Source organism: Homo sapiens, chromosome 16 (assembly GCF_000001405.40).
Source record: "Homo sapiens chromosome 16, GRCh38.p14 Primary Assembly".
NCBI classification, from domain to species: Eukaryota; Metazoa; Chordata; class Mammalia; order Primates; family Hominidae; genus Homo; species Homo sapiens.
Window position 1 is genome coordinate 68,562,319 of NC_000016.10, and position 15,034 is coordinate 68,577,352.

The 15,034-nt window shown below is 43.3% G+C and overlaps 1 protein-coding gene across 17 annotated transcripts in view; it reads left to right on the top strand.

The window, feature by feature from the left end:
- The window catches only part of ZFP90 (ZFP90 zinc finger protein), a 43,028-nt gene extending 28,840 nt beyond the window's left edge, over window positions 1-14,188 (top strand). For 8 of the 17 annotated variants that reach the window (NR_130978.2, NR_130976.2, NR_130977.2 and 5 more), the window contains one exon: window positions 726-4,813. Coding sequence is in view for 14 of the 17 variants with exons in the window: in XM_017022952.3 (XP_016878441.1) it covers window positions 726-2,380 (1,655 nt within the window). In the remaining 3 variants the exon portion in view is untranslated. Of the gene's footprint in view, window positions 1-670; window positions 4,814-13,472; window positions 13,755-13,807 lie in introns of those variants that run through there. The other 9 variants (XM_047433641.1, XM_047433639.1, NM_001305204.2 and 6 more) reach the window with 4 other exon arrangements.
- The last annotated feature ends 846 nt before the right edge of the window (window positions 14,189-15,034 follow it).

The window sequence follows — 15,034 nt, forward strand, 5'->3', positions numbered from 1 at the left end:
CTTAAACCCTAAAAATCAATTTGCTTGTATCAGTGTTCTGAAGTAAAAACAGGGACTTAAAGATCAATTTATTAGCCAGATTGAAATAAATTTTTTGGTCAAAGGAGGTAATTAGTGTAGAACCGGAGCTCAAATAGATGAAAACCACAGTACCAGTTGTAAAGACAAAGATGATTTGCCTCCTGATCAAGGACCTCCTTGATCTCCAAGGGTTATACTTTACAAACTGAGAAAATGCAGTATTTCAAATAATCTTTTCAGTTGTATCACTGGGTACAGATTTTCTCTGCAGCATTTGGAGACCTGGAACCTGAGAGTTGACAGTAAAGAAATTATGAAATGGATATATTAGGAAGACAGATTTTGTGGTGGTTTATAAAAGGATAGGAGGCATGGAGAGCATATAGGATCCTAAGATGGGCTGTGATCCTGTTCCATTTGTATCTGTGCCTAACACAGTCCTGCTCACTTATTTCCTTATTTTCTAACCAACCCTCCTAGATGGGCTTTCCTCATTCTCTGGACTTACCACATACTCTGAATCTGCAGTCTTTGCTATCATTTCTTCACTTTTCCTTTTCTCCATTTTGGGTCGTCTTCTCAGGATACAGGAGTAATTTCAAAACAGAGTCATATGTAACTTATATGTCTTTCTTCATTCCTACTCTAGCAGTGTATTTCAACAGGAAGGAATAGGGGACTTTTGTACTTTGGATTTCTTTCAGACTGGAAGACCAGGCCTGAAGTCAAATCATCACATTTGCAGCAGGATGTATCAGAAGTATCCCACTGCACACATGATCTCTTACATGCTACATTAGAAGACTCCTGGGATGTTAGCAGCCAGTTAGACAGGCAACAGGAAAACTGGAAGAGACATCTGGGATCAGAGGCATCCACCCAGAAGAAAATAATTACACCACAAGAAAATTTTGAGCAAAATAAATTTGGTGAAAATTCTAGATTGAACACCAATTTGGTTACACAACTGAACATTCCTGCAAGAATAAGGCCTAGTGAATGTGAGACCCTTGGAAGCAATTTGGGACATAATGCAGACTTACTTAATGAGAATAATATTCTTGCAAAAAAGAAACCCTATAAGTGTGATAAATGTAGAAAAGCCTTTATTCATAGATCATCGCTTACTAAACATGAGAAAACACATAAAGGAGAGGGAGCTTTCCCTAATGGAACAGATCAAGGAATTTATCCTGGAAAGAAACACCATGAATGTACCGACTGTGGGAAAACCTTTCTCTGGAAGACACAGCTTACTGAGCATCAGAGAATTCACACTGGGGAGAAACCCTTTGAATGCAATGTATGTGGAAAGGCCTTCAGGCATAGCTCATCTCTTGGTCAGCATGAGAATGCTCATACCGGAGAGAAACCCTATCAGTGTAGTCTCTGTGGGAAAGCCTTCCAGCGCAGCTCCTCCCTTGTTCAACACCAGCGAATTCACACTGGAGAGAAACCCTATCGATGTAATCTATGTGGGAGGTCCTTTAGGCATGGCACATCCCTCACTCAACACGAGGTCACACACAGTGGAGAGAAGCCCTTCCAGTGTAAGGAATGTGGGAAAGCCTTTAGTCGATGTTCTTCCCTTGTCCAACATGAGAGGACTCATACTGGAGAGAAACCTTTTGAATGTAGCATATGTGGGAGGGCTTTTGGTCAGAGCCCATCCCTTTATAAACATATGAGGATTCATAAGAGAGGCAAACCTTACCAAAGCAGTAACTACAGCATAGATTTCAAGCACAGCACATCTCTCACTCAAGATGAAAGCACTCTTACCGAAGTGAAATCCTACCATTGTAATGACTGTGGGGAAGACTTTAGTCACATTACAGACTTTACTGACCATCAGAGGATCCATACTGCAGAGAACCCCTATGATTGTGAGCAGGCTTTTAGTCAGCAAGCTATTTCTCATCCTGGAGAGAAACCCTATCAATGTAATGTATGTGGGAAAGCTTTCAAAAGGAGTACAAGTTTCATAGAGCATCACAGAATTCATACTGGAGAGAAACCCTATGAATGTAATGAGTGTGGAGAAGCCTTTAGTCGACGCTCATCGCTTACTCAACATGAGAGAACCCACACTGGAGAGAAACCCTATGAATGTATTGACTGTGGGAAAGCCTTTAGTCAAAGTTCATCTCTCATTCAGCATGAGAGAACTCATACTGGAGAGAAGCCCTATGAATGTAATGAATGTGGGAGAGCCTTCCGAAAAAAAACCAACCTGCATGATCATCAGAGAATTCATACTGGAGAAAAACCCTATTCTTGTAAGGAATGTGGGAAAAACTTCAGCCGAAGTTCAGCTCTTACTAAACACCAGAGAATTCATACTCGAAATAAACTCTAGGAACCGTGAAATTAAGGAATTTGCAGAATGCTTTAGCTAAAATGTTCTGATTCAGGATCAGAGGATTCTTAGAGAGCTTGGGAATGTAATGAATTACGTGTGTGTTTATACGTTGTGTGTGGAGAAAACTGCCAGTAGACAGATTTTTTTTTTTTAACATAAAGACACATTCTCAGATCTGATTACAGACTAGTGTAAAAACAGCTACATGTATGTAGCTGGTTGGGGATGATATGCCTGTATGTTGGACTTTGCTTTTGAATATATGTATGCAGGATATCATCAAGTTTCAACATCTTGACTTGTGACCCCCAATGTCAACAGCTTTTTTAAAAAGCAAATTCCTGCAGTAATGACCAAAACCCATTTTAAAAATTGCTTGACAACTGCACTCAACTGCAGCTCTTACATTAACTTCACCATGGAAACCAGTTCCAACTCCAGGAAGTCACCATTCAAAGAATTAGATCAACTAGCCCAACCACTTCATTGTACAGATGAAGACTGAAAGCCAAAGATGTGAAGTGGTTTCCACAGTATGATACAGCCTATAAGGGTAAAGCTGGGTTAAAAATGCAGGTTTCCTGGATTTGGGGCCCCATGGCCTTGCCAGTGAAAAGGTTATTTTTGGACTCAGAGGGCTTTAAAATAAATTTTAAGATGTATCAGATACACAAACATTTAATGGGCACCTATGGGTTGGACACTTTGAGAATTCTTAAAAGTATAAGTGGGAGCAAAATGTATGCAAATTTATCACAAACTATTTAAAGCAACTTCTTGGAGGCTTACAAACCACAATTTAACAGAAACTGTAGATGGTTGAACTACTAGTGACTTTTTTCCCCTTTTCCCAGTTACAATTATACTTTCAGCTAACATATGCCAGTTTCACAGAACTATTAAGTCCCCTTATTGTACTTTTTATGGCATGCCCATGAAAAAGCACTTTCTTAAGCCTACAGTATCAGATCAATGGGAAAACAACAGAAAACTAAGAGGAGAATTTTCCCGTTAATTTTCTTGCAGAAAAGTTAAGTCTAATTGCCCATTGCCATAAATTTTGCCTTGTACTCAGAGAAGCAACATGCACTGGCTCATTTTATGTGCAAAGAAAAGATTTCACCATTAAAAAAATTAACTTGGCTAGGTATGGTGTCTCACACCTGTAATCCCAGCACTTTGGGTGGCTAAGGCAGATAGACTGCTTGAACCCAGGAGTTCAAGACCAGCCTGGACAACATGGTGAAACCCCATCTCTTTAAAAAAAAAAAAAAATCCAAAAATTAGCTGGGCATGGTGGCATGCAGTGGTAGTCCCAGCTACTCAGGAGGCTGAGGTGGGAGGATCACTGGAACCCGGGAGCAGAGACTGCAGTGAGCTGAGATCACACTACTGCATTCCAGCCTGAGCAACAGAGCAAGACACACACACATCAATTTATTTTAGTTGTATAATGCTTTTCTATTAGTAAAGCATCAGCTAAGCTTCAGTGGCCTGCTCCATCCCCTAATGACTCCCATGGGCTATCCTAAAGGAACTTCCAGAACCTTTGTTGGTGTGTTGACATTGACCATGCAGACCAATTTGGGCACAACTGGACATTGATTCCTTTTACACAAGAGCTGCCTCCCAAAGATAGATAAATTTTCCCAGCCCTAAATATGAATCATGGGGCAAGATATTGGTCGTATTGATGGTGAACCTTTCCTACTGGATTCTTTGCATGCCACATAGCAGGATTCATTGCCTTTCTCTCATCATGGATGGCATGCAGCAGCACCCAAGTATTCTTCATTCTTTGCAGGGAAAAAATTGTGCATGGGGGCTGAAATGTAATATGTGTAGCTCAATTAGTCTCTCCTCTGTGATGCAAAATGGAATATTCAATGGCAGATCTGCCCTTCTGAGATGCTGACCATCCAAAACACCTTGTTTATGGTGCACCATGATTAGCTCACACACAATGCCAAGGCTGTGCTTCTATTATCTGATACATAGTTTGACAATGGGTAATTCTACTCAGACCCTCCCTACTGATTGGCTAGGATGCCTGTCAGGAACTCATTATGCTACTGGTTGTTTGGGGATCCCCATAGTGGACTACTTTCAGGAATGGCATGAATTGTAACCAACTGAGTGCTGCCCCCACTGTTACGGAAGTTTATAAAACCTTAGTTCCAGAAGACCCAAAGGAGAGTACTGGTTTGTGTTTGGTGCTTGGCCTAGATCCAGCCACCACTCTGAAACTCAGCACATCTTCATTGACAGGGAGGGAGCCCAGGACATATGTGTGGCTCATTGACCAGAAGGCTTTCTTAGTCCCAACAGCCATGAACCATGCACTTATGGATACCCAGCCTTTTAGGGCTACGTGAAATGCATCCTTGTAACATCATTGTATTCTTTCAATAAATAGCCTTCTGAGTTGAATGGGAGTCAGTTTGTCGTTTTCAATTTTCAGAACTTGGCTAAGATTAAAGAGTGGTGCACCAAGAGGGAGGAATTAACTGCTAAACTCATCACAGCCAGGTGAGTTAATAGCTACCATTTATTGAATGCTTACTACTTTAAAGACATTGTGCTAGGTGTTTCACATCTGTCATTCAATCCTTATAACTTCTGGTTAGCGGTGTGGTGGTAGTTCTTGTCTTTGCCCAGCATTTTCCCCCTTTTCCTCTTGCAACAATCTGATTGTATTGACTGTAGGAACCTAAATCAGGATGTCCCTGGGGCTCACTGATAGTTTTAGGGGCAGGCATGAGACCTAGTTCAGCTAATCAGAGTCCTTTGCCAGAATTTTTTCCAAGTAGAGCTGGAAGGAGCCCTACTTTGGGCTTTTGTGTTGCTAGGCCAAAAGATAAAGGCCTAGAGCTTCCTGGAACCTGATTTCTTACCAGAGATGGGAAGTAGGAGAGGACAAGGTTGACATGATGGTGTTCTTGTTTCTATTTCCTGATGTCCTTAGACCTGGCTCAATTTCTGAAGCTCTCCTTGGGATTCAGGAAGCTCCCCATCAGTCCAACAGTTTCTCCTTTTTGCTCAAGCTAATTTTTTATGTTTGTTGCTTGCATTAAAGAAACCTAAAATATGTATGATATACTTTTACCTGCCAGAGCATCTAGCGCACCTCCATGGAAGATGAGAAAAGACTTCTGCACTTTTAGGCATATTGATGGTGGTGATGCTTGGTTTTTTTAATAGCTGCAGTAGGCTTTTCACTTTGCAGTATTCTGACTTCAAGATTGAGCACTTTTTAAAAATACTAAGGTGGTTAATTCCTACTCATCTGTTAAAATGCAAATGGTGCTTCAGGAAAGGTTTTGCTGACTCTCCTATTTCAATTACATTGGTCTCCCTTTTAAAAATTTTCATGGATTACTGTTAATGTCCTCCATGTTACCACAGTTTGTATTTGTGATTATTTGGTTTTCTTTTTCCTACACTAGATGGTGAGTTCCAGGAAGGCAAGAGTCCATGTCTGTTTTGATAGCTCTTTTTATTACCCTGCTAATTAATGCCAGGCATATGGTAGATACTTAATATAGTGATATAGTGTTTTAAGTGAGCAATTGAGTGGAGATTGATTGCTAGACAAAGAAGACTGGTAGGTAAATGAAAAGATGCTCAATCTTGAAGTCAGAATATTGCAAAATAAAACAATGTAATACTGTTTCCTACCAATTAGGCTGGCAAAAATTGAGAAATCTGGCAGAGGGGAATTAGAACTTTTATACACTGCTGGCAAGAGGGTAACTTGGTATAATTATTTTGGGGAGTAATTTGGCAATATCCAGTAAAATCAAAGCTAAGCATATCTCATGTCTCAGCAATACCACTAGGAGATACATATCCTAGACTAGAAATTCTCCCTTGTGAGGAAAAGAGACACACACAAAGATGTTTATTGAGGCAGTGTTTTAAAGAGTAAAAATATGAACACAACAGAAATACTGGGAAGTGAATAGGTTAACAATAAGTCATGGCATATTCTTTTTGAGACAGGGTCTTGCCTTGTCACCCAGGCTGGAGTGCAGCAGTACGATCTCAGCTCACTGCAGCCTCCACCTCCCAGGTTCAAGTGATTCTCATGTTTCAGCATCCCAAGTAGCTGGGACCACAGGTGTGCACCACCACACCCGACTAATTTTTGTATTTTTAGTAGAGATGAGTTTTCGCTATGTTGGCCAGGCTGGTTTCGAACTCCTGGCCTCAAGTGATCCATTTCCTTGGCCTCCCAAAGTGCTGGGATTACAGGTGTGAGCCACTGTGCCCAGTCAATCATGGCATATTCTTATAATTTAACATACAGTTTTTAAATGAAGGAACCAGAGCATCTGGCGAAACAATAAAGAAGAGCCTAGAGCTGCCTATTCCACTCCTATATCCATCCAGCTAAATGTGGCTGAAGAAAAACAACTATGACAATTAGTCCCACTTTTTTTTTTTTTTTTTTGAGATGGAGTCTCACTCTGTCACCCAAGCTGGAGTGCAGTGGCATGATCTCAACTCACTGCAACTTCCGCCTACCAGGTTGAAGCAATTCTCCTGCCTCAGCCTCCTGAGTAGCTGGGACTACAGGCACGTACCACCATGCCCAGCTATTTTTTGTATTTTTAGTAGAGATGGGGTTTCACCATGTTGGTCAGGCTAGTCTTGAACTCCTGACCTCATGATCTGCCTGTGTCGGCCTCCCAAAGTGCTGGGATTACAGGCGTGAGCCAGTGCGCCCAGCTGATTAGTCCCACTTTTCTTGTATGCTATCCTCCAGCATTTGTTTTCCTATCCAGTCATTGTCCCACTCTTTTAAGTTGCTATTTTATGACTTCTCTCTTTAACCTCTGCAGCACTTCGCCCAGTCCTCACTCAGCTGGTGACCTTATTTCCTAGTTAACTGAGAACAAGAAAAGGAATCAGAAGAGGCCAGGTGCAGTGACTCACACTTTTAATCTCAACACTTTGGGAGGCTGGGTGGGCGAATTTCTTGAGCCCAGGAGTTCGAGACCAGTCTGGGCAACATGGCAAAACTCTGTTTCTACCAAAAATGCAAAAAAAAATGAGTCTCATAACGTGGTCTCAAAAAAATAATTTTTTTAAAAAAGGAATCAGAAGATAATTCCTCTTCTCTGTGCATCTTATTCTTGCATTCTTTCTGTTGCTATGGTTGACACTTTGTTCTCTTACCTAAGATCAAGTCGTCCTCTAGTGTATTAGATCCCATCCTTAAACTAGGGCATAATTCCTACAGTTGTTCTCTTTCCTGCATTTATTTTTTTTTTCGTCTACTGGATCTTTCCCATTAGCATAGTAACATGTATTTTTCTCATCTCAAATTATATGTGTGTGTGTATACGTGTGTGTGTGTGTGTGTGCTATATCCCCCTCTCCCTACCTACCACTCCATTTCTTGCATCACTCAATAGTAAGATTCCTCAGTAGAGGTGTGGAATACTCATCTCTAATTCCTCTTCTTCCATTCGCTCTTGTACCCACTCCAATCAGGTCTTTGTGTCTGCTCTCATCAAAGATCCCTGATGGATTCCATGTGGCTAAATCCAGTGGTCTTTTTCAGTCCTATTGATGCAGGCAGATGAGCTCATACAGGTGCTTGGCTTCTCCCAGGAAAGAATTCAAAGGCAAGCCAGTGGTGTTAGCAAGTTTTACTGAACTGGAATTGCTCCTGTGAAGCACATCCAACTCCTAGGCAGTGCACCCCAAGTGAGCACTTGTGGACAGTTGGCTAGCTATATTTATACCCATTTTTAATTACATGCAAATCAAGGGGAGGGTTATGCAGAAATCTCTGGAAAAGGGGTGGTAATTTTTGGATTATTGTCATGGAAAGGGGTGGTAACTTCTTGGCCATTGCCATGGTATTTGTAAATGTCATGGTGCTGGTGGGAGGGTCTTACGCTAATGAGCAACGAAGGAAGCTAGAGGTTGCTTTCAGCACTGTCTGCTGGTTCCCACCATTTCTTCTCTTTATCCTGTTGGGACTGGAAAATAAGTCCTGCTGGTCTCTTACCTCACTTTTACTTGTCTTTTCAACATTATTTGATACATTAGTTGATCACTTCCTCACAGTGACCCTTTTTTTTTCACTTGGCTTCCAGGTTACACTTACTAGATTTTCTTATCCTTTATTGACAGCTGCTTCTCCCAAGTTATCTTTCCTTGCTCTAGACATAGGAATTCCCCCAGGGCTCAGTTCTGTGAAAGGGCCATGTATGCAAAGCAACCCTCAGATGCTGAAGGAGCTGGGAAGCCAAAGAATGAGGCAGACAAATCCAGTTTGTCGGTTTGGGTGATTTTTTAGGGGGAACTTAGAGACAGAAGTGTGGTCTTGGGTGGCTGGAAGGTAGATCTTCACACCACACCCCATCAGAACCAGGGCTTGTATCTTGGGGGAAAGTATACATGCTGTTGAAGGAATGTGCTGAGGGAATGCTCCGGGTATCACAGCCTATGATTTCTGCAACAGCATCAAGGGTTGTTTTGAGGGAAGGGAAATAGGTGTTTCTATGTAAAGAGTAATACATCAACTAGACATTTTAGAGGCATTCCCAGACTGAGGGTTAGGTTAGTCAGAAGTCACATGGTGGATTAAAATTTAAAATCGCTATTTTCCAAACTAGTCTTTATTAAACTCATTTGAAAGGCAAAAAATAATAATAGTAAATAATAAAATTTAAAACTTTTGTCCCCACAGTGGTGCATAGGTATTCGTTGTATGTGCCTCTGTGAATGTTTAAACTCATTTACAGTTAAAGTTGGCCTCCTTTTTCTTATCTGATTCCTCCTCCCACACAACCACCTGCTTGGTTTCCCTCAGGGCATAAGCCTGGATAACTTGTACACCAGCACACCTGAAGGATTTGGGGGAAGGAATAATGAGCACTGATGCTCCTCAGAGTGAGAAGCTGATCCAAGCCTAAGAAAGAAGGGAGGGACCCAGCACGGCGGCTCACACCTGTAATCCCAGCACTTTGGGAGGCCAAGGTGGGAGGATCACTTGAGGCCAGGAGTCGAGACCAGCCTAAGCAACATAGTGAGACCTCATCTCAACAAAAATAAATAATTTTTAGGAAATAATAAAAAATTGTTAAAAGAAAAAGTCTTGGCACTGTCAGAATCAGGCAGAGCGTTGCCACTTGCCAGAAATGCCTTTTGAGGCACCAATTAAAAAGGGAGGGCAGAGGAGCAGAGGGCTTCCTGCAGATGAGGAGCATGAGTGACTATTTGCAAGAGTTGGTGGAAGGATATTACTAATTTTTGCTAATAACTTTTAGTAAAACCCTGGTCATTTTGGAAAAACATACTTTTTTAACAAACACTTTTTTTTTGAGGTGGGGTCTCTGATGCAGTGGTGTGATCATAGCTCACTGAAGCCTCAAACTCCTGGGCTCAAGTGATCCTCTGTCCTTAGTCGCCCAAGCAGCTAGGACTACAGGTGCATGCCACCATGACCAGCTGACAAACACTTTTTTTTTTTCCATTTGGAAAGGTAGCAGACACACTAAAAGACAAACACATTTTAATGGATAAAGGAGTCAAGAAATCTGGACCTGAATTATAATGGTATTTTATTGAGCTGTGAACAGGAAGTATTATTGTAGTAATTAATGGGGCTTTTATTTTACTGTCTGCATTAAAAAACTGGCAATTTGCAATTCCAAAGTTAGAGTTCTCACAGGATCTTGACAGGGACTTTTCTGTTGGCTTGGAGTTGCTGATAAAGCTCCTAAGGTGAAAACAAAATGTCACATTCCTCTGCTTTCTAAAGGGTGTCACAGAGACTGGACACATGGTCCCATAGGACTCACTAGATGTGAGAGTCACAGAGCCACTTGATCCTTGGCCCCTATAGATATAAAAACCATGTAAGGAGGTTCTGATCCAGAGGAGATGGGCCTCATGCTCCTGGGATGAAGCCCCTACCCTGCCCCTACAGGGGTGGGGGACTTGGGCACCAAGAATGAGATATTGGGAGATCTGAAAGCATGGGAGCTTGGCATCTCCATCTCCAGCAAAACCACAGGCCCACTTCACAGCTGTCACCTGGAGTTCTTGGGAGAACTTAATGTTTGTTCCTTAAAATGTGTTCCCTGTAGTGTGGAGGTGGAAGGTGGTAAAGGATCGAACAGAGAGGGGTGCCCCCAACTGTCTGGAGATTTCAGAAGGGAGGGGGCTGCTGCTGGATTAGTCCCTAGCAGCAGAGTGGAGATCTCTAAGGGTCTGCATTTGTGTTATCCCTGGGAAGGAAAGGATAGGACCACTCCATCTGTTTTCCTTGACATCAGAGATCACAAGTCAGGATTTCAGTGGTTCCTGGATAGGGTGTCCTTATAATTGATTGTCCAAACAGGGACCCTGAGAATGAAGGGGAAGCTAATCAGATGGGAAGCTCAGATTGTGCTCTAAAACCCAGATGTATGTTCACCCTGTACCTGGAGCTCCTGGGAAGGAGGACAAGTGGGCAGGAGCCATAAGGCTGTGTCAATGGCTGCTCTGCCAAACTCACCTTGAGACTGGTTAGAGGCAAGGATTGCGTGAGGCCCAAGGGAAACTAGGCTGCCCTGCTGTGAATCGACACAGAGAGCTGGGATGAAGCTGGACCCAGGGGTGCCATCAGGGCAGGCCACAGGCTTCATCGCCAGGTGCAGTGGCACACTTAAAATCCCAGAACTTCAGGAGGCTTGAGGCCAGCAGGTCCAGGCTACAGTGAGCCATGATTATGCCATTGCACCCCAGCCTGGGTGACACAGCAAGACCTGTCTCTAAAAGCAAAACAAAACTCTATATATATATGGTCAGACTAAGTTTCAATAACTGAAAGTAAGCAGAAAATTGTATTTGCTCAGGTTAAGGGATCCTAACATGGGATTTGACAGTGTTGGGGAGTGGGAAGGCATTTTAAGGGTAACATCACACAGGTTAGAAAAGTTTACACCACCAGTTTACAATTAATAATAGGAAGATCTGGGTGTGCCTTTTAAAGAGGTGTCCAAAGGAAGCCCACTGGCATCATCATACATTTTATGAGCTGAGGTTGAGATGTGTAGTTCCGCCAGGTGTGTTGCACACACATGTCAAGAGAGCACCTCCTGAACGCAGGGACATGTGGCACAGCTAGGGACTACGTTCCCCGAAAGCCTTAGCAGCAGCTCACTTCCACTTCTGGGCTGAACGTCTTCCCTCGCAGTCGCTTTTGGTCTGCTCGGCCATGTGCAGTGCTGAGTTTTCGCTTCCTTCTGAGTGGCACAGCGTGGGTACAAGCTTGGCTGCGTGCCTTTCTCCAGGTTTCCTGCATGCAGGGACAAGTCATTCTCCTCCTGTGGCTGCCACTAGCCATCTGTGTCCCATGCCTGGGACATCCTGGACCAGGCCCCTCCTGCCTTCTGACCTTTGCCAGATGGCAGGAGACTGCCATCTCCTATCATGTGACCTACTGGACAAAGTGCGGATAAGTTGAACCATATGAAATTGTCTAAGCGGGGAAACTCCAGGTCAATGTGTCTCCTTTTTCTGAAAAAAAAAAAAAAAAAAAAAAAAAAAAAGGTTTTTCTTTAAGTTTCTCCTCCCCCTGAAACAAGGTCATAAAGAACAGAGATGCAATCTCATCTTCCCTGTCTCCTTCCAACCCCTTCTCCCATCTTCTGGACCAGACGGCCTTGTGCAGGCAGGCTAGAGGGAGAATAATGAAACCTTGAGTGGGGAGTTATACTCCCAATAACAGTGGTCGAGGTAATTAGGCCTGAATTTCCCACAGAAAATAAGCTGGCAAACATGTTGAAAAAAAAAAAATTATTCCCAAAAGCACCAAAGAGCTAAGGAGAGTAAAGAATTGGGGATCAAACTTTAGGAGAAGCAAGAAACAATTCCTGATCCTAGCACTCAAATCTGCTTTTGTCTGGAGGCATTTTGCTGATGAAAGACACGCGTGGACCGGGTGTGGTGCCTCACACCTATAATCCCAGCATTTTGGGAGGCTGAGTCAGGCAGATTCCTTTGAGCTCAGGAGTTTGAGACCAGCTTGGGCAACATGGTGAAACCCTGTCTCTAAAAAAAATACAAAAATTAGCTGGCATGGTGGCTCACACCTGTAGTCCCAGCTACTTGGCAGACTGAGCCTGGAGAATTGCTTGAGCCAGGGAAGCAGAGGTTGCAGTGAGCAGAGATTGTGCCACTGGCATATGCCAGCCTGGGCCACAGAGTGAGACCCTGTCTCAAAAAAAAAAAAAAAAGTGGAAAAAAAAAGAGACACTGTGAAACCCAGCTGTGACATTGGTAGACTTAATAATTACCCCATATTTGAACTATCACCCCAGATGAAGACACCCTCAGGAAAATGTTGAACTGGGGAAAATAAGCTGTGGTTTAGACAACTTAGGACAACTGACACAGGATTTTTCTCACTTTGCCTATAGGGGCCTCTGTGGCCAGCAGTGTCCCCACCTGGGCCTCCCTTGGCCCTGGGCCTGCCACAGGAGGCACCTCATCCACTCAGCCCACCATGCTGTGCCTGGCTTGTGCACTGGGATCTGCACTCGGTCTGTGGCTGGGACAGGCGTGCCTCAGCCTGCCTGTGTCACAGTTCATACCCGCATTTGACAGTTGCCAAGTTCTTGTCCTGCATCCAAGAAGAATGAGGTTATGCTGACAACTGAAGGGTGAGGAGGGCAGAGAAGAATTTTATTGAGTAACACAACAGCTCTCAGTGGAGAGGGGATGTAAGGGTGGTCCCCCACCCAAAGTCAGGTCATCTCTCTGTTGACTGGGTCCAGGGCTTTTATGGGCTCAGAATGGGGAGTGTGTGCTGATTGGTTTGTGAGTATGCAAAAAAAAAAAAAAAAAAAAGGCTAAAACAAAGGCACTACTCAAAGGTGGGCATGACAGTGTAGAAAACCAATTAGGCAAGGGTAGTTATATGTAAAATAGATGAAGGTTAGTGATCAATCAGAGGAAAGCATGCCAGATGGGAAGACAGGTTCTCAATCCGGTCTGTGGATTTACCGAGGATTTGTAGCTAGGCATCAAACTGTCTTCAGCTTGAAGGTTGGGTTTCAGTGGGGACCTGTTCCTGTCTGCCTAGGATTTGTCTGCCTCCTGCCGCTGTCGCTACCATCTGGGAGTAAGGGCGAAAGAAGACAGAAACTTCCAAGAAAGAATCCTGAGTGATGTCAGCAAGAATGGCTAAGTAAGGACCTCCAGAAGTTCTCTGCCCCGTACAAGCCATGCAAATACTGACAAAACTGTGAGAATCAGATTTTTCACAACTCTGGAACATTTATTCCAGCAAGCAGCAAATGTTCCCCTTGCAGCAAGCTAGGAAACATTTATTTAAAAAAAAAAAAAAAAAGCATTTCATTAACAAGAGTGATCTTTGTGGCATTTTAACATGCTCTATTCCCATTTCCTTCTCCCCAGCTCCTCAGTATCCCTGAAAACCAACAGCCAGGCAACCACTGGAAGGAGCAGAATAGGTTTGGAGCATCTTCAAAGCCCCATTCCCAGAGAATTGTCATTATTTGACTTGTATGGTGGTTTCCTGTAAGACTCTACTCACAAGACTTATCTTTATTTGACCTGACTCAGTGCAAACAGCCTTTTCCCCAGGGGTATCACTTGAAAATTATCAGGGCAATTGTTTAACATCATTGCTACCTGAGGCAGTAGGTAACAATGCAAACAATAGGCTAACCAAAAAGCTTAAAAGGAAAAGCTGGGTAATAAGATGTCTGTAAGGAGCTTTGAAAAGCTCCAGCAGGCCGGGCACGGTGGCTCACGCCTGTAATCCCAGCACTTTGGGAGGCCGAGGCAGGCGGATCACGAGGTCAGAAGATCGAGATCATCCTGGCTAACACGGTGAAACCCCATCTCTACTAAAAAAATACAAAAAAATGAGGTGGGTGCAGTGGCGTGTCCCTGTAGTCCCAGCTACTCGGGAGGCTGAGGCAGGAGAATGGCGTGAACCCGGGAGGCGGAGCTTACAGTGAGCCGAGATCACGCCACTGCACTCCAGCCTGGGTGACAGAGCGAGACTCCGTCTCAAAAAAAAAGAAAAGAAAAGAAAAGCTCCAGCATATTCCTAGAAATCTAGAAGGCAATGCACATGCATAGCGCTGTGCAAGGGAAAAACCCAGAAAGTCACTAAGCTATCGCTTAACAGCTGACCTTGAGGCTCTATGCAAGCAGGAAGCAATGCCTAAGGCAGGGTAGTAAACTGCCTAGCTGAGTGTGGAAAGTGTGCCCCTAAAGACACAAGAGCCCTTTGCTCTTTGGAAAAGACCAGGAGACTTGGTTGTTCTAGGCATTTAAGGAACTCTCTGTCTAATCAGCTGACCACTAGCTAACTGAGCAGAGATTTCAGGGGCCACATGACAGAGAACACAGAGTTTAAGAATTTGTTCAGAAAAGTTACTAAATAAACAGCAGCAACAACAGCCAGCAACAAACTCTAGGAAGGGGAGGGGAAATCTGATTTCCAGAATTGCCACTTTATGTTTTAAGTGTTCAACATTCAACAAAAAATTATGAGGCATGCAACACAACAGGAATATATGGCCCACCCACAGGGGGAAAAAAACAATCAATAGAAACTTCCTGAGGAAGCCTAAACAAGACTTTACCTTAGCTATTTTAAAATATGTTTAA